This window comes from Homo sapiens, chromosome 9 (genome assembly GCF_000001405.40).
Source record: "Homo sapiens chromosome 9, GRCh38.p14 Primary Assembly".
Lineage (NCBI taxonomy): Eukaryota > Metazoa > Chordata > Mammalia > Primates > Hominidae > Homo > Homo sapiens.
In genome coordinates this window covers 92297358-92319538 of record NC_000009.12, presented here as the reverse complement: position 1 = coordinate 92319538, position 22181 = coordinate 92297358, and the positions used below count along the sequence as shown (strand labels likewise).

Sequence of the window (22181 nt, the reverse complement as noted above, 5' to 3'; positions counted from 1 at the left end):
ACATTGTATGTTCAGATAAGTAGGTAAGCTATTATGCTACTAAGAAAGCATTTTTGTTTTATTTTGGTTTTTAATACTACAAAGCTGTTTATAGTGCTCATTTAGGCACACCTAAAGTGAAATAACCATTTTACGTGGCTGATTATTTTGACTCTTTTATTTGTATTTTCTTTTTGATTCAGATTGGCCCAAGAGAGAGAAGCAGCAAAAGCTAAGAAAGAAGAATCAACAACAGGTAACGCCAACTTGTTAGAAAAGACAGGAGGAGTGGATTTCCATATGAAAGCTGTGCCAGGGACAGAAGTGCCAGGGCATAAGGTGAGTCTCCTCTGTAGCCTGAGCCAATTACATGGTCTTGGAAACTGATGCCTGAGATCACGTGATTGTGGGTGTCATGTCTAAAACCAGTTACTCTTTTCCCCTTTCTTGGAGGCAATTAACATAGATAGGACTTTATGATTTTCAAGGTGCATTTACAACTCTTAGGTAAGCATAGTTCTCCATCATTTTACAGAGAAAGAAATCAAAACTCAAGCAGAGGTGGACTTTCAAGGGACATAGGTAGCAAGGAATACAGGCAGGTCCCAAGTTTGCCTGTTCAAATTAGCAGCCAGTGTTTTTTGTAAACCATCTTACACGGTTTACTTGGGATTGATAGCTGCTCCAAATCTTCCTTTTTTTTTCTTTCCTCTCACAATTTTTCTCTTTGGTAACTCTTATTTCATTGTCAGAAAACTAAACCCAACAGTAATCATAGCCCACTGATTTTTTTGTTGTATTTACCTAATATTGTTATTAAATCTTTTCCATTTGTGTCACATATAGTAAATAAATTCTTTTTTTTTCTTTTAGAATTGGGTTGTGAGCAAATTTGGAAGAGTCTTACCTGTTCTTCACCTTAAAAATCAACATAAACGTAAAATATCCTTTGGCCTCTCAACATAATTATTTACCACAGTGACGGATACTTGTAAAATACCTTTAGCATTTCACTGTCTCTTATCAGTGAATCTTTAGGTGTTTGTTTGCGTGTTCCCAGTTTCTTGGTACTCACCTACATGTATGAAACAATTAGAGCATGAGAAAATGGATTGAGGTTTTATACAATAAGTAATTCAAATGATGAGTGCCAAAGAAGCAGGTTGGTTTATTAATTTATTCATATTGTCATACATGGATTCAAAGCCATTGCTGAAGGAGCTAAAGAGGGGTGAGAGACCCAGAGACCATCATTAAAGAAGGCTTTAGAATTGAGGTAGGTTTTGAATTAATAAGAAGTGATGGGAAGTAGTCTTGGGAGTAGGAATAGTAGATAAAAATATGTGGGCAAGCACGAGGATGGTGGGTTGAGAAATAGTTTGGAGCAGAGTGTGAGCAAATTCTAATGCCTATTCAGTGAGGTCACATTGTCTAAGACCTTGAAGACCTGGTATCATGGAATTCTGAGCAGTGTGTCTTAATGTATTCTTTTTTTTTAATCTTTTTTTTTTTTTTTTTTTTTTTTTGAGATGGAGTCTTGCTCTGTCCCCAGGCTGGAGTGCAGTGGCACAATCTTGGCTCACTGCAGCCTCTGCCTCCTGGGTTCAAGCAATTCCCCTGCCTCAGCCTCCCAAGTAGCTGGGACTACAGGTGTGTGCCACCACACCTGGCTAATTTTTTTGTATTTTTACTAGAGACGGGGTTTCACCATGTTGGCCAGGATGGTCTTGATCTCCTAACCTTGTGATCTGCCCACCTTGGCCTCCCAAAGAGCTGGGATTACAGGCATGAGCCACCGCACCTGACCGTCTTGATGTATTCTTTAGCTTGTAACCCTGGTGTCAGTCAGTAAGGGGAACAGTAGCAGGTATTTGAAACAGAGGGATTATAATATATGCAGTTAGTTAAACAAGTGCTGGAGGAGCAAAAGCCAAAGGTCAGATTCCCCACTGATTGACAACTGCAGTAAACCACTACCCCACTGGGACTAGAGAAGCAAAAACGTGTGTCCTCTGAGCTCACAGCTACTGTGCCACTGAAACCACTACTACCTGAATCCAGGCCCTAGTTGCACCGGACATAGCTGTGACCTCTGCCCTCCCTACAAGTGGCTCAAAGTCAGGAAAGTACTGATTTCTTCTTTTCCACTTTCCAGCTTTCCACCAATGGCAGCTGCTGATGGCAAAGAGGAAGATATTGAAGGACAGTAGAGACAATAGACACTTTTTGGCACACCTCACATATAACTGGCACATATAAGTAGTTATTGAAAAAAGGGACTTTCAAGAGTAATCGCTTAAGGTGGGGTGCAGTGGCTCACACCTGTAATCCCAGCACTTTGGGAGGCCACTGGGGGATCACTTGAGCCCAGGTGTTTGCGACCAGTCTAGGCAACATAGTGAGACTGTAACTCTACAAAAAATATTAATAAAAGAAAAATCAGGCTGGGCCCGGTGGCACATGCCTGTGGTCCCTGCCACTGGGGAGGCTGAGTTGGGAGGATCACTTGAGCCTGGAAGGTTGAAGCTGTATTGAGCCACGATCATGCCGTGGCACTCCAGCCTGGGTAGCAGTGAAACCCTGTCTCAAAACAAAAAAGAGTGATAGCTTAAAGCACCTTAATACTTGCCTATTCATATGCTTTAGGGAATCAGCAAATGACAGCCATCATTACAACACATCGATGTTAACTAGAATCTTTCCCGGATAGTGTCGACATAGGCCTGGTAAAGATTTATTAGATTTTTTTTAATTTTTAATTTTTATTTTTAAGACAGGTTCTCACCATGTTGCCCAGGCTGGTCTCGAACTCCTGGGCTCATGTAATCGGCCCACCTCGGCCTCCCAAAGTGCTGGGATTACAGGCATGAGCCACCGTGCCCAGGCCAGCTTTCTAATAAAGACCTAAAAATGTTGCAGAGAGTGAGTTCATGTGAAGTGGATGTTATTCAGCTAGGAGAATCAGAGTTAGGATGAGTAAGAACTGAGAGAACAGAAATAGCCAAAAGAATTTGAGAGTAAAGGACACACATGTGGCCATGTCCTCTGGGTTCTCCTGAACCCAGAACTTTGCTTTACTGTATCAGTTCGATGGTTGGATTTCTGTGATTTACAGAAAATAGCCCTGAGACCTGTGTACCTATAATATAATCTGAATAGGTTTGCTATAATATCCACATACACTCCAAGTAATTTCTGCCAACTAATAGTGGTGGTACTAGACTTTAACTCAGCAAATGTCATAGAAAGCTCAGTTTCTTAGACCCTGAAAGGTAACCTAGTTAAGTCCTCATTTTCTTTTACAGGAAACTGAAAGGGGGGGGAAATGACTTATTTGAGATTAAGCAATATTTTTTGTATCAAAGATTGATGAGTTTTCCTAAAACCAAGTGCTTTAGTTTTGTTTCTTGACTTGCGTAACATCATCAAATATGATCCCTCAAAATACTGCCACAACCTGAAGAAGATAGGGGAGGATTTCTCAAACACCATTCCTATATCCAGCCTGACTTGGGAATTAGAAGGAGGGAATGACCCTATGAGTAAGAAACGGCGAGGAGAGTTCTCTGACTTTCATGGCCCTCCCAAGAAGATAATAAAAGTGCAGAAGGATGAGAGTTCCACTGGGTCTCTGGCCATGAGTACAAGGCCCAGGAGGGTAATAGAGAGACCACCCTTAACACAGCAACAGGCTGCACAAAAAAGAACTTGTGATTCCATTACTCCTTCTAAATCATCTCCTGTACCTGTTTCTGATACTCAGAAACTTAAAAATCTACCTTTTAAGACTTCTGGCTTGGAAACTGCCAAGAAGAGAAACAGCATTTCTGATGATGATACTGATTCTGAAGATGAATTGAGAATGATGATTGCGAAAGAGGAAAACTTACAGAGAACTACACAACCCTCAATAAATGAATCTGAAAGTGATCCTTTTGAAGTTGTAAGGGATGATTTCAAATCAGGCGTTCACAAACTGCATTCTTTAATAGGTTTAGGTATCAAAAATCGTGTCTCTTGCCATGATAGTGATGATGATATTATGAGAAATGATCGTGAGTATGACTCAGGAGATACAGATGAAATTATTGCGATGAAAAAAAATGTTGCTAAGGTCAAAAACAGTACAGAATTTTCACAAATGGAAAAATCTACGAAGAAAACTTCTTTCAAAAATAGAGAAAACTGTGAGCTTTCTGATCACTGTATTAAACTACAAAAAAGAAAAAGCAATGTAGAGTCAGCCCTCAGTCATGGATTAAAGTCTCTTAATCGTAAATCTCCCTCTCACTCCAGTAGCAGTGAAGATGCTGATTCTGCATCAGAATTAGCTGACTCTGAAGGAGGTGAGGAGTATAATGCCATGATGAAAAACTGCCTTCGTGTGAATCTCACTTTAGCTGATTTGGAACAATTGGCTGGCAGTGATCTGAAGGTTCCAAATGAAGATACTAAGAGTGATGGACCAGAAACCACCACCCAATGCAAGTTTGACAGAGGCTCCAAGAGCCCCAAGACTCCCACTGGCCTCCGCAGAGGCCGACAGTGTATTCGTCCTGCGGAGATTGTGGCTTCCCTGTTAGAAGGAGAGGAGAACACCTGTGGCAAACAGAAACCAAAGGAAAACAATTTAAAGCCAAAATTTCAGGCTTTCAAGGGAGTAGGCTGTCTATATGAAAAGGAGTCAATGAAAAAATCCTTGAAAGACAGTGTTGCCTCTAACAATAAAGATCAGAATTCCATGAAACATGAGGATCCCAGTATCATATCCATGGAAGATGGGTCCCCATATGTTAATGGCTCATTAGGTGAAGTGACTCCATGCCAACATGCAAAGAAGGCGAATGGCCCAAACTATATTCAGCCTCAAAAAAGACAGACCACTTTTGAAAGCCAGGATCGCAAGGCAGTGTCCCCTAGCAGTTCTGAAAAGAGAAGTAAGAATCCTATTTCTAGGCCATTAGAAGGTAAGAAGTCCTTAAGTCTTAGTGCAAAGACTCACAACATAGGCTTTGACAAAGACAGCTGCCATAGTACCACAAAGACAGAAGCTTCACAGGAAGAGCGGTCTGATTCAAGCGGCCTCACATCTCTCAAGAAATCACCAAAGGTCTCATCCAAGGACACTCGGGAAATCAAAACTGATTTCTCACTTTCTATTAGTAATTCGTCAGATGTGAGTGCTAAAGATAAGCATGCTGAAGACAATGAGAAGCGTTTGGCAGCCTTGGAAGCGAGGCAAAAAGCAAAAGAAGTGCAGAAGAAGCTGGTGCATAATGCTCTGGCAAATTTGGTGAGTATATTTTCAATGTATGGATTTAACAAGAACTCAGAAAGTTCAGCTTTTCTTTCCCATGAAGTTAGGTGTGCCCCCATAGAGCTGATTGTCTTGGTGTTCACCAGTTTCATGTTTTGGTTCTTGAGTTAGCTTTTTCATCTGGTTTATCTGAAAATTTCTTTATAATTTTCTTTCATTTAGAAGCTATACCTGGTATAGTTAAGTAATGTATTCAAATGTGTCTGAATTTACATAAAAATCACTTGTCAAGTGATTTATACCTTGCCAAGTCTTGCCAAGATTTACTGTAATGGGCTTTTGTTCATTCTTCTAACAATTGTTAAGTACACCTTTATAGTAAGTGCCAGATTTATAGTATGAGGATGGTGATCTTGCCTTTCATACAGTTTTTGGCTCATGGTGTGGCATGCTGACAGTCACAGTTCAGTTACACAGGGCCAGGAGGGGGTTGTGCCCCTGTGCCTTGGCAGCACGCAGGAGACACACTAAGTCAGTTGGGAGCTTCTGTAGTCTGAGCTGAGTGGTAGGAAAAGATTTGTGGGAATTGGTCAGGCCCAGGTGAAAGGGTGGAAAGGGAGTGGAAAGGCTTTCATTCTAGGAAAAAGGAACCGTTTATACAAGGGTGAATGTTTTCAATCAGTGTAATTAAAACTTATACAGCATGAGATGGCAAGAAATGAGGCTAGTGGTTTCATTTTGTTCATAAAATGAAAAGAGAGTGAAGAATTTTAAGCAAAGGAGAGAAGATTAATTGTGTCTATTTTGGAACAGGAGTTGACAAACTACACCTCAAAGGCCATCCAGCCCATGACCTATTTATGTACAGCCTTCAAGCTAAAAATAGTTTTTGAGTACAGAACAAAGACGATATGTGGCCTGCAAAGCCTAACATATTTACTCTGGCCTTTTACAGAAAAAGTTTGTCAACCTCTGTTTGGGAGAGATCCTTCAGACCATGATGAAAACAAATCGAACGGCTCCGTCTGTAACCAAGGAGAGCCTTTGGGGAGGTGGAAAGTCAAAACCGTAACAACAGCAATGGGAATAGATTGACTGAATTGATACCAAAAAGTTTAATTGATAGGACTTGGTGATAACTGGATAGGGATAGAAAGAGGAATTGTAAGTTTCTGTCTTAGGCAAATAAACAGATGGTGATGGCATTCACTAGATAAGGAAAAAGGGCAGGAAGTAGACTTGGCAGGGGAAGGGAGTGATAGGTTTAGACATGTTCAGTTTGAGATTGGGTTGTTTTAAGACAATGCTTTTTTTTTTCTTCCTTTATTTTAGGTTCTGGGGGTATATGTGCAGGTTTGTTACATGGGTAAGCTGTGTGTCTTGGAGGTTCGGTGTACAGATTATTTTGTCACCCAGATAATCAGCATAGTACCCAATAGGTGGTTTTTCTTTTCTTTTTTTTTTTTTTTTTTTTTGAGATGGAGTTTTGCTCTTGTTGCCCAGGCTGGAGTACAATGGTGTGATCTCGGCTCACTGCAATCTCCGCCTCCTGGGTTCAAGCAATTCTCCTGCCTCAGCCTCCTGAGTAGCTGGGATTACAGGCACCTGCCACCACGCCCAGCTAATTTTTATATTTGTGGTAGAGATGGGGTTTCACCATGTTGGCCAGGCTGGTCTCAAATTCCTGACCTCACGTGATCCGCCTGTCTTGGCCTCCCAAAGTGTTGGGATTACAGGCGTGAGCTACTGTGCCCGGCCCAATAGGTGGCTTTTCAATCCTTACTCTCTTTCCACCCTCCACCCTCAAGTAGACCCCAGTGTTGATTGTTCTTTTTTTTTTTTTTTTTTTTTTTTTTACAGGGTCTCACTCTGTCACCCTGGGGTGCAGTGGTATGATCTCAGCTCACTGCAACCTCCATCTCCCAGGCTCAAGCAATTCTCCCACCTCAGCCTGCTGAGTAGCTGGGACTACAGTCACGTGCCACCATGCCCAGCTAATTTTTGTGTTTTTGTAGAGATGGGGTTTCACCATGTCACCTAGGCTGGTCTTGAACTCCTAAGCTCAAGCAATCAGCCTGCCTTGGCCTCCCAAAGTGCTGGGATTTCAGGTGTCAACCACTGTACCTGGCCTATTGCTCCCCCATGTGTACTCAACATTTAGCTCCCACTTATAAGTGAGAGCATGCAGTATTTGGTTTTCTGTTCCTGTATTAATTTGTTTAGGATAGTAGCCTCCAGCACCATCAATGTGGCTGTAAGGGACATGATTGCATTCTTTTTTTATGACTGCATAATATTTCATGGGGCATGTGTACCACATTTTCTTTATCCAGTCCACCATTGATGGGCATCTAGGTTGATTTCGTGTCTTTGCTATTATGAATAGTACTCCAATAAACATATGTGTGCATGTGTCTTTATGGTAGAATGATTTATATTCCTTTGGGCAAATATCCACTAATGGGGTTGTAGGTCAAATGATAGTTTTGTTTTAAGTTCTTTGAGAAATCGCCAAACTGCTTTCCACTGTGGGTGAATGCATTTACATTCCCACCAGCAGTATATAAGCATTTCCCTTTCTCTGCAACCTTGCCAGCATCTGTTATATTTTGACTTTTTAGTAATAGCCATTTTGACTGGTGTGAGATGGTATCTCATTGTGGTTTTGATTTGCATTCCTCTAATGATCAGTGATGTTGAGCATTTTTTTTGTATGCTTGTTGGCCATGTGTTTGTCTTTTGAGAAGTGTCTGCTGTGTCCTTTGCCCATTTTTCACTAGGGTTGTTTGTTTTTTGCTTGTTGATTTGTTTAAGTTCCTTATAGATTCTGGGTATTAGACCTTTGTCAGATGCATAGTTTGCAAATATTTTCTCCGATTCTGTACGTTGTCTGTTTACTTTGTTGATAAGTTTTTCTTTTGCTGTGCAGAAGCTCTTTAGTTTAATTAGATCCCACTTGTCAATTTTGGATTTTGTTGCAATTGCTTTTGGAGTCTTCATCATAAATCTTTTTAAGATGCAATGCTTTCGATGGCCTCCCTAGGATGGTCATCCAGAGGATAAGCCAACGCACATCATCTTCGGTTCTGACAGTGAATGTGAAACAGAGGAGACATCGACTCAGGAGCAGAGCCATCCAGGAGAGGAATGGGTGAAAGTAAGAAGTTCAGGATGTCTCTGTGGACATTCATCTACTTCTGCAGATCCACACCACAAACAACTGGCAATCTCAACATAAAACCCTCCTGAGAGCCCCAATGAGACCCAGGGCTTGCCAGGTCACCTCATATTGAGACTACAGGGGTCTTGGAGATTTTTATATATGAACCTATATTCTCCACAACATCTGCAGCATGACATCAATATTAGTGAAACGCTACAAAAACTGTTCTTGCATGTAATAACTACCTCCCCAAATCCAGGCTTCACTGGAGAGCCTCTGGATTAGTGATCCCAGAGGCCAGTTAGATTTCACTGAGTCAGGAATTTCCACCTGACCTGCCATTTACTCATTCCTGGTAGATGAGTCTGGGTTACTGGCTTTCAATGTGAGGGAGAAGATTACGTTATGAAGGGAAATACTGCTTGTTTGCCTCTGCTATTAATAAATGTTGTGTTTCTTCACAGGAGTCTATGGGTAAAACATCAGGGAAGCTGTTTGATAGCAGTGATGATGACGAATCTGATTCTGAAGATGACAGTAATAGGTTCAAAATTAAACCTCAGTTTGAGGGCAGAGCTGGACAGAAGGTTAGTGAAGACTGAAAATAATTAGACTTGCAGCATGTCCTTATTTTTTGACATAGTCCTTAAATCTGGGTAAATGCAGGCAGACCTTAACCTACATTATAGCATCGGGGTGTTTATTTGGAGAGTGAGTCTTCTGTGATCCTCTCTGATTGGTTCATAAGTAGATGGAGGTAGGCAAACATCTTAATGTAGTGAATTTCAGTGTGTGGGGAGGTGTACATTGACAGTCTTCGTCAGAAGCAATTTCTTGGGAATGTGGCTATCAATTATGTATGTTTTCTGTCTGTGTAGCTCATGGATTTACAGTCGCACTTTGGCACCGATGACAGATTCCGCATGGACTCTCGATTTCTAGAAACTGACAGTGAAGAGGAACAGGAAGGTAAATGCTTCATTGTCCAGAGTCCTGATGTCATATCTGGGGACACTGAGAAATCACCTAGTATACCTCCTTTGTTTAACACATGAAGAAACTCTCCATCCCAAGACATTGGATTGAGGAGTTTATAATCAAATGTACAGTTAATACTAAGTTTGTTTGTACATAGTAATTTAGGAAAATTTAATTACTTAGAGCTGCCAGAAAGGAAAGGAAAAAATAACATCCACCAAAGGTACCATTTTCCTCTATCCCATCCTTGGCATGAGAAGAAGTTGAGTTTCCTACCTGGCAGTGGATCAGCAGGTTCTGGGTGAAGCCATGGAAGACAGTTAAGTCACTCTTGGCTTTCTAAAAGGAACAGTGTTCATCGTCCTCCAGTGTGCATACCTGGTGCAGATTATTTTTTAAAGCTGTGTATCACTGAATGCCATTCTACTTGAATTTATCCCTGTTTGAATGTATCTAAGAGTAATGATGCTATCAGAAGCATCCTAATTCTACTTCTTTTCACTTACTATAGCATTTTTCACAGCAGTACTTCCAATCTTTTTCTACAGGACCTTCTCCTCTTACCCTTTTAAAAACACCTTACCTCTTACGTCGCTGGCTTGAATGAGCTCCCTAATTCCCTCTCCTAATCTCAGAACTTCTCTGCCCTTCTTTTTTTTTCTCCTTCCTGAATTAATCTAATCTGCATTTTAATCCTCACCATTCCTACTTCCTATTACTCCTTTCATCACTTGCATTTTCATTCTTCTCCTTCTAGCTTCTTCCTTTTTCTACAGACATAGTTAGGTCTTGTGGTCCCAAAAAAGCCATTCCTCTAACCATGCCAGTTTTCAAGTTTGTACTCCATCTCTCTTTCAGTTCTAAATTTGAAGTGAAAAAGTAAATTACATCTAATTCAGTAGCAGTTGGCTTTTTACTGAAAACAATCTGTGATTTGATCTTCTCAATTCTTTGAGGTGATTATTAACAGTGTTGGACTGTTTCAGGAAACCAAGGTTCAGAGAGTTTTAAAATGAATTCTCTAGGGTCCTCCCAAATTCTGTTTCAGTGCTGAGATTACAGGCATGAGCCACTGTAGCTGGCCCTTTTCCAACTTTTGAAAGCACAATGTTTGTCTATCCTGCAAGCAGCAGCACAGCCAGCCTCCATCACCTTGAGCCCTTTCCAGCATTGTATTCTACTTGACTTTCTCACTCAAAACTCCATGTTGAAAACACAAGAATGAACAGAACCTGGAGACTAACCTTCATTTAGAAGGTACATAGGTTATTTTCTTAACTTCTGCCAATTTTGTCTGTTTCTTTACAACTCTTTGGGTGTGTGTTCCCTCAAAGCCGTAAACAACTTGTCCTCCAAGTGCAGTGGCATTGTCTCCAATGACATCCTCTTCAGCTAACCTAGAGCATATGTCACTGTTGATCATCCCTTCTTGAAATGTTCACTTTGCTTCCAATTGCATCATAACTTCCTGGTTTTCTTAACTCTTTATTCCTAATTTTTCTTTTGCCTCCAAATATGGGTTCTTCCCAGGGTTCTGTAAGTCCCTATAGCTTTAGCCTTCACTTGCACATGAGTATTTTTCAAATTTGGATCTTCTTTCTTCCTTGCTGTTCTGCTGAGCTCCCAACTGGTCTTAAACGCCTGTTGGATATTTTCCACAGGCTTTCCTGAGTTTGTGTTAAAACTCAGCAAGTCCAAACCAGCTCTTCTTAACCTTTCTGCGTTGATGGCGTGTCCATTCTTAGAATCTCTGTTGTTGTTTTTTTCTTTCCTTCTCAACATTTTATTTTTATTTTTTTGGAGACAGGATCTCACTGTGTTCCTCAGGCTGGAGTGCAGTGGCACAGTCATAGCTTACTGTAACCTCAAACTCAGTCTCTCTAGTAGCTAGGACTACAGGCATGTGCCACCATGTCCAGCTAATTTTTGTATTTTCATAGAGACAGGGTCTCGCTGTGTTGCCTAGGCGGGTCTCAAACTCCTGGCCTCAAGTGATCCTCCTGCCTCAGCTTCCCAAAGTGCTGAGATTATAGGCATGGAACCACTGCACCAGACCCCTTCCCAAATTTTGAGGCACAACGTTTTGTCTCAAGTAAGCAGCACAGCCAGCCTATATCACCTTGAGCCTTTTTCAGCATTATAATCTACTTCCCTAATGCTTATTAGATTAAAATTTAAATTGATGTTTTTGATAGTCAAAAGTTGTTGAAATTAGCAGTTTCAACCTAATGCAGTGTAAACTTTTTGTACTTTATTATTTCAATATATGTGTTCGTTTTGTTTCCAACACCTAGCATGCTTTCCTACCACCTCTAGGGATTCAACTCTATCTTTCCTACCTCATAACTTTACCTAGTTTATAAAGCATCTTTTGATTCAGTTAAACACTATCTCAACTTCCTTTGAACCCTTAGAAACTTTGGGGGCATCCCTGTAGAGTACTTAAATTAGCATTTTATTCTAGTTTCTGTTAGTTGGTTATTTATATCCTGCAGTAAGTTGAAAGAGTCATACAGGCTTAGACTACTTTTGTATTTCTGTAATCCAAACTAGCTGTTTAACTTTATTCTGTGATATTTTGTCTGTTTGTAGTAGTTGAGGATAGTAGCTTGTAAAAGTCCATGATGCCTTAGTATGTGTAGGGCATATGGTTTTTTTCCCATAATACTTGTTATTGAATCAAAGACTGAAACAACTATCCACTAATATCTTATATTGTCAGATATACCATTACCATTTTTCACTCTTTATCATTTTTAGATTTACGTAATTTAGATTATGTTTAGAATGTTAAAAAAATCAAAGAGTCTATAATCACTGTAGTTATTAGTATCTTGCTCTATTACATTTGTCGATCTTTACCTTAAAAGTTTTAGACTTGCTACTGAAAGCCATTAAATTCAGACTTTCATAATTAGGAACAGAAGTAGGACTTTTCATTGTCTGGTCACGCAGACTTTCTGAGTTTGCTATGACTGAGGGTCTTTGGTTATGGAGGTTAGTGAAATGAGGTTAAAGTTTCTTCTTCCTGTCTTAATGGATTTTGAACATGTTTAGGTACTTGGTAAATATTTGATGATTGAGACTTCTCAGGCTGTGTTTTCCAAGAGAGTATTAATTATCCCTTTTCCTCAAAGAGGTAAATGAAAAGAAAACTGCTGAGGAAGAAGAGCTTGCTGAAGAAAAAAAGAAAGCCCTGAATGTTGTACAAAGTGTTTTGCAAATCAACTTAAGCAATTCTACAAACAGAGGATCAGTAGCTGCTAAGAAATTTAAGTATGTTTTATGTTCCATCCCATTCTACCATATCATCCTTTGCCATAAATGTCTTCTTGAACTCAATTTAAAACTAGGTCTCTTTTAATGGCCTGGGGAGGCAGCTGGCAATATGTATCAGACCCTTAAAAATATACTTGCCTTTGACCCAGTGATTCACTTCAAGGAACTAATCTTAAATTATTTCTGTATTTATACACTTAGATGTCATAGCAGCATCGCTTTCATTAGTGAAACAAATGGGAAACAGTTTAAATAGTAACTGTAAAAGTATTTATATAAACGTAACTGTTATGGAAATTTTCAGGCATGAAATTTAGAGAGACTAATGAAAGCCCTGTATACCATCATTACCTGTACACCAGGTAATGAAAGCCCTGTACACCATCACCTAGCTTTTACAGTCACCAACATGTGACCAGTGTTCTCTTCTATACCTTTATCCAACCCCTACTTTACACAATGAAATGTTTTATGCAAATCCCAGATAGTATATCATTTTATCTGTATGTATTTTAGTATGTTTAAAATCATTTTAAAAGCTAAAAAAATCCAGGAAATCTCAAAAGTAGGTAGTTTAAAATATTTTTTCGGCTGGGCATGGTGGCTCACACCTGTGATCCTAGCACTTTGGGAGGCTAAGGTGGGCGGATCACCTGAGATCAGGAGTTGGAGAGCAGCCTGGCCAACATGGTGAAACCCCGTCTCTACTAAAAATATAAAAATTAGCCGGGCATGGTGGCACATGCCTGTAATCCCAGCTACTTGGGAGGCTGAGGCAGGAGAATCGCTTGAACTTGGGAGGCGGAGGTTGCAGTGAGCCAAGATCACGCCATTGCACTCCAGCCTGGGCAACACAGCGAGACTCTGTCTCCAAGAAAAATCTATGTATATGTTATTTCTAGTAAGATCCTAGTTATCTTATCTGATGTTATATGGCTTCTTCTTGCTGCAAAATTAGAATCTTCCTAGTGCTGAATTATAATTTGCTACTTACTTTTTGTATTAGTGTTCTGTTTTTATCTCTTCCAACCTCCCTTCCTTTTTTTACATAGGGACATCATACATTATGATCCAACGAAGCAAGACCATGCCACTTACGAAAGAAAAAGAGATGATAAGCCAAAAGAAAGGTAAGTAGAGCTACTTCTTTTAGCAATAGGATCATGTAAATTAATCTCATTTCAGACAATTAAAAATGTAGGTAGGAACCAATATCCTACTCATTGGTCCCACTGTATTAAGATTGGTGGGGTAGGGGTAGTGCAGGTAGAGTTAGAAAGGAATTATTGATGTGGTGGAGGAGGTCTTACCTTTTAACAGAGGAATCTATAAATGATATGTACTCCTATCATTTATACCTTTTATTTGTATAAATGATGCCTTTTATTTGTACTAGTTTCTTGTGTCTTCTGTAGCTACCACAAACTTAGTTACTTAAAATCACAAAAATTATTTCTTTACAGTTCTGGAACCTAGAAGTCCCAAATTAAGATAGTGAACAGGTTATGTTCCTTCTAGAGGTTCAGGGAAACAAAGCTGTTTTATGCCTCTCCTAGTTTCTAGTGACTGCCACCAATCCTTTGGTGTTCCTTGGCTTGAGACTACATTACTCCCATTTCTGCCTCTATCTTCACATGGCCTCTTCTTTTCTGTCTCTCCTCTTTGTGCCTCTTATAAGGACACTTGTGATAGCATTCAGGGCCCACTTGGATAATCCTGGATGGGCTCCTCATCCTAGGACCCTTAACTTAATATCTCTGCAAGACCCCTTATCTAAATAATGTTAACATTCACAGGTTTCAGGAATTAGGACATGGACATAGCTTTTGGGGGGCAACCATTCAACCATCTAGTGTGGTAGGAGCTTCTGTTTCCTATAGATGTGCAGTCAGTTGGATAAACATGGCAAATATATGGAGCAACCAGTAGCAGCTTGGTTTAAATCCTTCATTTTCCAACTGCTAATAGCCACGAAAATCACAAAAGGCAGTGTGGTATCCTGAATTGAATCTTGAAACAACAGGACAATTTGTGGAGAAACTAGTGAAATCAAAACAATGTCTGAGTTTAGTTAGTGGTAATCTACCAATGTTAATCTTCTAATTTTGACAATTATATCCTAGTTACATACACACATAATTACATTAGGGAAAACAAAGTGAAGGCTATTTAGGAACTCTACTATTTTCGTTACTTTCTGTAAACCTAAAATTGTTCCAAAATTATTCTTTTAAAAAGAATCACATTTTAGACTAAAGTAGAATATTAATATTCCCTCCAATGTAGGATATATGTGTGTTATTTCAGATAATCCGTATTGAACAAATAGGATATGTTTACCCCCTCCCTATACCCCTAAGAAGTCTCATCCCTTTACATCAGCTCAAAATCCAGGATGTCATCATTCAGATCAGATCTAAGTACAGATGAGGCTTCTCTGTTATTCCTTGAGTACAGTACCTTGAGTGCAGTTCTGTTTGATAAGACCTATGAACTAAAAAAGCAAGTTATCTACCCTTCCTCCAATATAGAGCGGTGGAACAGGCATTGGATAACCACTATAGGTACTGTTCAATGAAAGAAAACAGGCACAAAGGAGTCACATGTCCATAGTAACTCTGAAATCTAGACAGACAAATGTTGGAAGGTCTTTGATTAGGACTGAGGGCCTAGGAATAATTCTTCCTGACCGTTGACTTGGCTTTCTGGATCATCCTTCTCTTTTCATAAGTGCTGGCACAGGTTTACAGCTGAGTAGTTTTTTCAACCTGCTTTTTGCTTATAGAAATTTGGGAGTCCAAAAGCCTGTTCATTTTGAAATGTTCCTGTACCTACCAGTCCAGTCTAGTGGTATTTCTGATAATATAATTCTCTTAAAATCTTCATAAGTTATCTGTGAATCTTCTTGGAATTCACTCTGTTAGATGAAAGTCACACAAATCATTTTGAGATAAGCCTTTTTTGTTGTTTTTTTAACCCTGGGCTTCTACTGAAACTGCTGAGAGATAATGCCTCTAACCTCCATAGAAGCCCTATTGTTTGAACAATTGAAGTTTATTTTCTTTTTTGTATAATCTTAGAGACAGGGTCTTGCTCTGTCACCTGGCTGGACTGCAGTGGCACAATCATAGCTCACTGTAGCCTTGAACTCCTGGGCTCAAGTGGTCCTCCCACCTCAGCCTCCCACATAGCTGGAAATACAGGTGTGCACCACTGTTCCTGGGTAACAGTTGGAAGCTTCTTATCTCTTTTTAGGGTCTTAACAAAGAATTTTGTTTTATTTTTAGACCGAGGTCTATAACTTTTTCTGTGACAGGCAAGATAGTAAATAGATAAGACTTTGCAGGCCAGACCATCTCTGCTGTGATGACTCCACTCTACCTTTGTAAAAGAAAAGCAGCCATAGACAATATGTAAACAAATGAGCAAGGCTGTGTGCCGATAAAACTATTAAAGGACACTGAAATTTTCATTTCATATAATTTTTTCATGAAATGATGTTTGTTTTTCCCCCTATCATTTCAAATGATAAAAAAAATTCCTTAACTTGCAGTTCAGACATAAGTAGGCAGTAGCCTGGACTTGGCCCATGGACTATAGTTTGCCAACCCCTTCTTTAGACCATGTTTTTCTGAGGCTGTCATAGAGTTGATCTTTGCTTAGAAGCCCTTTCTTAAATTTCATGTCATTTGCCTTCTGGAGATTAGGAGTCTTCAAAACCATGAATTCCTGGCTCCCTTTAAAAAAAAAAATTCCTCCCTTTAGTTTCATTCTCTCCTCTCTTATTTCACTGTAATCAGTAGGATGAAACCAGAATATACCTTTAACACTTCGCTGGACATCTCCTTAGCTAGATCACCCAGCTAATTAGGTACATTTTCCATTTTCCACAGTACACACAATGCAGTTGACAGTGTTGCTAAACTTTCTACCACCATGTAACAAGGATTCCCTCTTCTCCAGTTTCCAATAGGATTTACCTTATTTTTCTCTTAAGCCCTTACCTGCAACCTTCTCAAAGACCATATGGTTTCTACTAACAGTTTTTTCAAGGTCCTTCTAGCTTTTGCTGTGATCTTAGTCTCAGAAGTTATATGTCATCCCATTTGGCTTACTCTGTCCATTAAAAGAGTCACTAAGTCCAGCTCACACTCAAGGGATGAGGGAATTAACTTCCACCCCTTGAAGGAAGAAGTAACAAAGAGTTTTTGGACAAATTTTAAAGCCACCACATGGTGGTTAAATGATAATCACTTGGAACTGCCTACCATTTTTTATAGAGCTTGGTTTCCTAAGAGGCATATCTGTCTTAAAACCTAACGAGGTTGGTTTATTTACCGAAATACTAAAAGTTTCTCTCTTTGATATGGTCTCTACCACTAAGAATGGTTATTTAGGATATCCTGTTCACTTATTATTTTACGTAGTACATTACAAACTTTGGCCTGGTCTTCGAGGAAAAAGGATTTTAATATTTTCTTAGCTCAAAATTCAGTATTGGAAACTGCCAAGTAACTTTTTGTCCCAGATCAAAGAGAAAAGCATATTCATTCCTAAATACAGAGCAGATTTATGGTAATATAAAAATTTCATTTCAAAAGACACTATACATATTTATAATTAATTTCTACAACTGATTTACAATTTTACCAGTTACTGGTAAAATTCCCAGTATCTTAGAAGTCATGTGGCTTACAGTTTTCATTTTGCCTATGAGAAAACTGAGGCCTAGTGAAGCTAAGTGATTTCCTTACTTATACCTAGGTGTATAGTTTAGGCATAATTTCTGAAATGTAGTTCAGAGAATGATAGAATATGATTCATGCAGCTGTTTGAGATTTGTGTAAAAAAAGCTTATTGATCAAGATTTTGCTTCTATTAGTAGAGTTCTATATGTAGAGTTTTACTTATTTTATTTCTCTATTTATAAGTAGAGTTTTATATTCTGGTTGTTGATAGGATAGAATTAAAGTTGTCCAAGATTTTTTCTTTTCTTGATTTCTGGAAATTTCCCAAAACTTGTTTCTTTGTGATGCACATGTCTACATATGTCATTTCAGTAAAGCAAAACGAAAAAAGAAAAGGGAGGAAGCTGAGAAACTACCTGAGGTGTCTAAAGAAATGTATTATAATATTGCTATGGATCTGAAAGAAATATTCCAAACTACAAAATATACCAGTGAAAAGGAAGAGGGCACACCCTGGAATGAGGACTGTGGTAAAGAGAAACCTGAGGAAATCCAGGACCCTGCAGCTCTGACCAGTGACGCTGAGCAGCCCAGCGGGTTCACGTTCTCTTTTTTTGATTCAGACACTAAAGACATAAAGGAAGGTACTTTTCTTTTTTCCCATACTTTTTTATTTTATTCAGTTTGAACTTAATTGATTGAATCTGCATTAAGTGTAACAGATTTCATGTTAGCTGAAGAAAGGACTCTTTCTTCTACCTAGAAGATTTGAGATTTAGTGTCACAGGAGCATAAACACGATGTTCCTGAAGCTGTGAAAGAAACTATTTTTGCATTTAAGGAAGCAAATCTCTACTAGCTGCCATATGAAGGGAAGCCAGAGAATAATGTACAGCATCTTTTCTGTTAAGTAAAACGTCATGAAGAAGTATAGTAAATCACATAAAGAGCTTTGTATCTTAAATGAAGCTGAAGATGCTATGACTTATGGAAAACTAGTGCTATATATAAGATAAAAGAAGATATAGGTAACCTTGGTTTTACACAAATATGCCATGTCATCAATATGCCAGTTATTGCACAGTTTATCCTTGAAGATTTGCCAGAACCTAGAGAGAAGTATAAACACTAGTACATACAGTTTTGCATTTCATTTCAAGAGGCTTACCTCTAAAGGCCAACATGGGCCACAGGTTAAAAAACACCTGACCTGTTCCTCACCCAGGGTTCCAGCTTTCTGGAAGTTCCCACTGTAAAAGCAGGTAATACCTATACAGAAGAATACACACATACCTAACTACAATGATTCTACTTTAAAGATCAGCAGTTAAAATAGCATACATGTGTTTGGTAGATTAAAATAATTTTTTTTTTTTTTTTGGAGACAGAGTCTCTGTCACCCAGGCTGGAGTGCAGTGGTGCAATCTCGGTTCACTAGCAGATAATACCAACTCCGTGGTACTTTAAAAGGAAGTATAACAATCTAGTAGTTGTTCAAAAAGTATTGCAAATAAGACTTCATTTTCTTGTCTATATAAACTGTTGAGTAGAGTTGGCATGATGTAAATAGTAACGATAGTTTTTCTAACTTTGAGAGCAAAACGTGAGAAATTGACCTTGAAACGAGTCCTAAAGACATCAGCAACTTGAAAGATGTTTTTTAAGTACTTGGGAAATTTTGAAGACTTGTGAGGTGATTGTCCTGATCTTATAGCAGTAGTTTTTCCAGCAGTTCTAGCAAAAAGTTTTGGGTATTGAAAATGTAAAGATATATTCCTTTTCTCATTTATAAATAGACAAGAGGGAAACCTGATTTCCCTGTATCCTATTATATTTTAGGCTTCTCATGCAAGCACAGATGCCATGGTTATTTTAGGTGTCATTTTTAAAAATTATATAGCTCATTTATAAACCTTTATTTTTTAAACCTTTTTTATATTACTGCTGTCCTTATCAGATCATTCTAGCAATGCCAAAATTATGATAGTGGCTTCTGAAAATATTTGAAAAATCTAAAAAGATGATACTACCTATTTTTTTGATACTATTTTAAATTAATGATTAACATATTGGAACTTTAGATATGTCTACGTGGTAAAAGTAATCAAATGAATGTGTTCAGAAATACTTGGCTGTGGAGTTACAATCCCATCATCTTTTGTTGTCATAACGATATAGAGACCTACAGAGTTGAAACAGTGAAACCTGGAAAGATTGTCTGGCAGGAAGACCCTCGTTTACAAGACAGCAGTTCAGAAGAGGAAGATGTTACTGAAGAAACAGATCACAGAAACTCCAGTCCTGGGTAAACAATTTGTTTCTTTGCAGGCATAGTTCATAATTTGTAAAATCTGAATTAGACATACTTTAGAAATATTTTAGCTTCTCTTCACATGACAACTAAATTGTCTTAGCTTCTTTTTTTATTTTATTTTTTTTTTTTGAGACGGAGTGTTGCTCTGTCGCCCAGGCTGTAGTGCAATGGCATGATCTCAGCTCACTGCAACCTCCGCCTCCCAGATTCAAGCAATTCTCCTGTCCCAGCCTCCCAAGTAGCTGGGATTACAGGCACGTGCCAACCACACCTGGCTAATTTTTGTATTTTTAGTAGAGGCGAGGTTTCACCATGTTGGCCAGGCTGGTTTCGAACTCCTGACCTCAAGTAATCTGCCCACCTTGGCCTCCCAAAGTGCTAGGATTACAGGCGCCCTGCCACTGAGCCTGGACATCTCAGTTTCTTTAGAGTGTTCTCTAGCCTTTTTATAATGGAGAGTGTGTTTCCTTTTCCATGAGATTTGGATAGCACTAAGGGGAAGATAGTTTGTGCATAGAAAAGGGAAGGTGGCCTGACAGTGAAGTCACTGGTCTGGAAACAGGATGTTGCAGTTGACTGGGTGCCTACCCATGGGAGGCACTGGCAAATGGGGTAGCAATGGTGGGAGTGAGAGTATCAGCAACCAACACAGGAAAGATAGAGGTTCTACTTAAACAAGTCTTCATTATCAAAGCTTCAGATAGAAGAATGTTAGAGGGAGGGTTGTTTTAACTCAGGGCAAAATGCACAAAATACAAAGCAGATATATTTAAGAGTCTCGCTCACCTGGATTCTAGGGGGAAATGAAAAAAGATATATTTAAGAAATAGTGTATTTATGTTTTGAATGTAAATATTTCTTCTTAAATATTGAAATTAAACCAACCAATACCTATTTTTCTCTCTCCTTTGTCCCTTTCTTTTCAGAGAAGCATCATTACTTGAGAAAGAGACCACTAGATTTTTCTTTTTCTCTAAGAATGATGAACGACTTCAAGGTCAGTCCATTTTTTTCATCAAATTACATACATAGAACAGGTAATAATACAGCTACAGTAATTCACATCCAGGAATTTTGACCGTTGGTAATGTCATGTGGTTTAACCCCATTTGTTCACACTGATGAATGTTAACTTGTAAAGCTGTCAAGGTCTGAGAGCTCCCCACTCACCACTTTCTTTGCCCGCTCATTCTCATCAACAAAGGGTTGTTTTGTTCCAAGGGCTTCCTTAGATGTTAGACATATAAAACCCCTAAGTTTTAGTGCCATAAATTCCATGTGAAAACTCAGGCTGTTGGGGAGCTCATTTCTTAAAGCCTAGCATAAACAAAGTTACATAATAGTAAATGATATATATAAACAGTAAAAGCAATATTATATTTTTCATTTGGAAAGAAAAAATACTAATTTTTGAAAATAGGTAGAAACTGAGGGAAAAGAATGATCTTAACTGGTATTCGAGACCTTGATAATGCCAACACTTAGAATATTACCAATTTTAGTAGTAGTTTGCTGCCTCATCTTTCTTCTTTTTCCCCTAATAGGTTCTGACTTATTCTGGAGAGGAGTAGGAAGTAATATGAGCAGGAACTCTTGGGAGGCCAGAACAACCAACCTGCGTATGGTGAGTAATTGTTTCTCCATATTATTTCCTAAAATAGACATGTTACCTATCTAGAATTACAGTCCTGGAAGGGAACTCATGAATGGTATAGGTGAGGAGACTGCAGACTGGCTCAATTGAGTGACTGGTCTCAGAATCCAGCCAAGCCTATTAAGTAACACGAAAGCATCAGATTTTTAAAGACTGAATTATAGTTCCCATTATAAACAGTTAATGCCAAAAATGCCAATATCCCCTCTTCATTTCAAAAGAGCACTTTCAAAATAGGTTTCCACAGCCCTGACAGTGAGAATAACCTGTTTTACTTCTATCTACTGAACATCTTAAAAACAATTTGTTTATTGCTAACCAAGTCTTTTTTTTTTCCTAGGATTGTCGAAAGAAACATAAAGACGCAAAAAGGAAAATGAAACCAAAATAATAAATGTCAGCTGGTTTTGATACTGAATGTGAACAAGGCTCACCTAAGGAAACTGACCCAGAAAACAGTTTTAGCTGACAAAGAAGAAATTTCAGAGTGAAGGAATTTTAAAAATCTGGCTGACGGAATATCATTCTGGTTGCCATCTTTTTCTGTGGAACTCCTCTGCATTTCTTCCTAAGTAATTACTTCAAAAATTAAATTCAACTTCTTATAAAGGAAGAACAAGATAGTCCTTGAAAATACTTTTTGTATATAATCTCTTTGCCCTCTATCCTGAGTAACTAATGGACATCTTCTCATGCAAGGTTTATATGAAGCCTTTTTAAATAAATGAGTCAAAGCACTTGTATTTTCCAGCCTAGGCTTTGTGTGAATTATAGGCTATTTGAAATTTTATTTCTGATTATGTCAAATACACCTTCCATTTTGTCATTTTTGTTTAAACTGATAAATTACAAGTCAACATTGAGTTTTA

The 22181-nt window shown here is 38.7% G+C and overlaps 1 protein-coding gene across 12 annotated transcripts in view; it reads left to right on the top strand.

Annotated features, from left to right (window-relative positions):
* NOL8 (nucleolar protein 8) overlaps positions 1-22181 on the top strand; it is a 27993-nt gene extending 5812 nt beyond the window's left edge. For 7 of the 12 annotated variants that reach the window (NM_001438181.1, NM_001256394.2, NM_001438004.1 and 4 more), the window contains 13 exons: positions 183-318; positions 853-921; positions 3401-5272; positions 8280-8393; positions 8864-8986; positions 9278-9368; positions 12515-12653; positions 13709-13786; positions 17717-17988; positions 19523-19649; positions 20585-20655; positions 21203-21282; positions 21653-22181. In NM_001438181.1, the coding sequence (NP_001425110.1) occupies positions 183-318; positions 853-921; positions 3401-5272; positions 8280-8393; positions 8864-8986; positions 9278-9368; positions 12515-12653; positions 13709-13786; positions 17717-17988; positions 19523-19649; positions 20585-20655; positions 21203-21282; positions 21653-21703 (3223 nt within the window). In that variant the 3' untranslated portion in view covers positions 21704-22181. Of the gene's footprint in view, positions 1-182; positions 319-852; positions 922-3400; positions 5273-8279; positions 8394-8863; positions 8987-9277; positions 9369-10507; positions 10635-12514; positions 12654-13708; positions 13792-17716; positions 17989-18728; positions 19650-20584; positions 20656-21202; positions 21283-21652 lie in introns of those variants that run through there. The other 5 variants (NR_046106.2, NM_001330722.2, XM_047423554.1 and 2 more) reach the window with 5 other exon arrangements.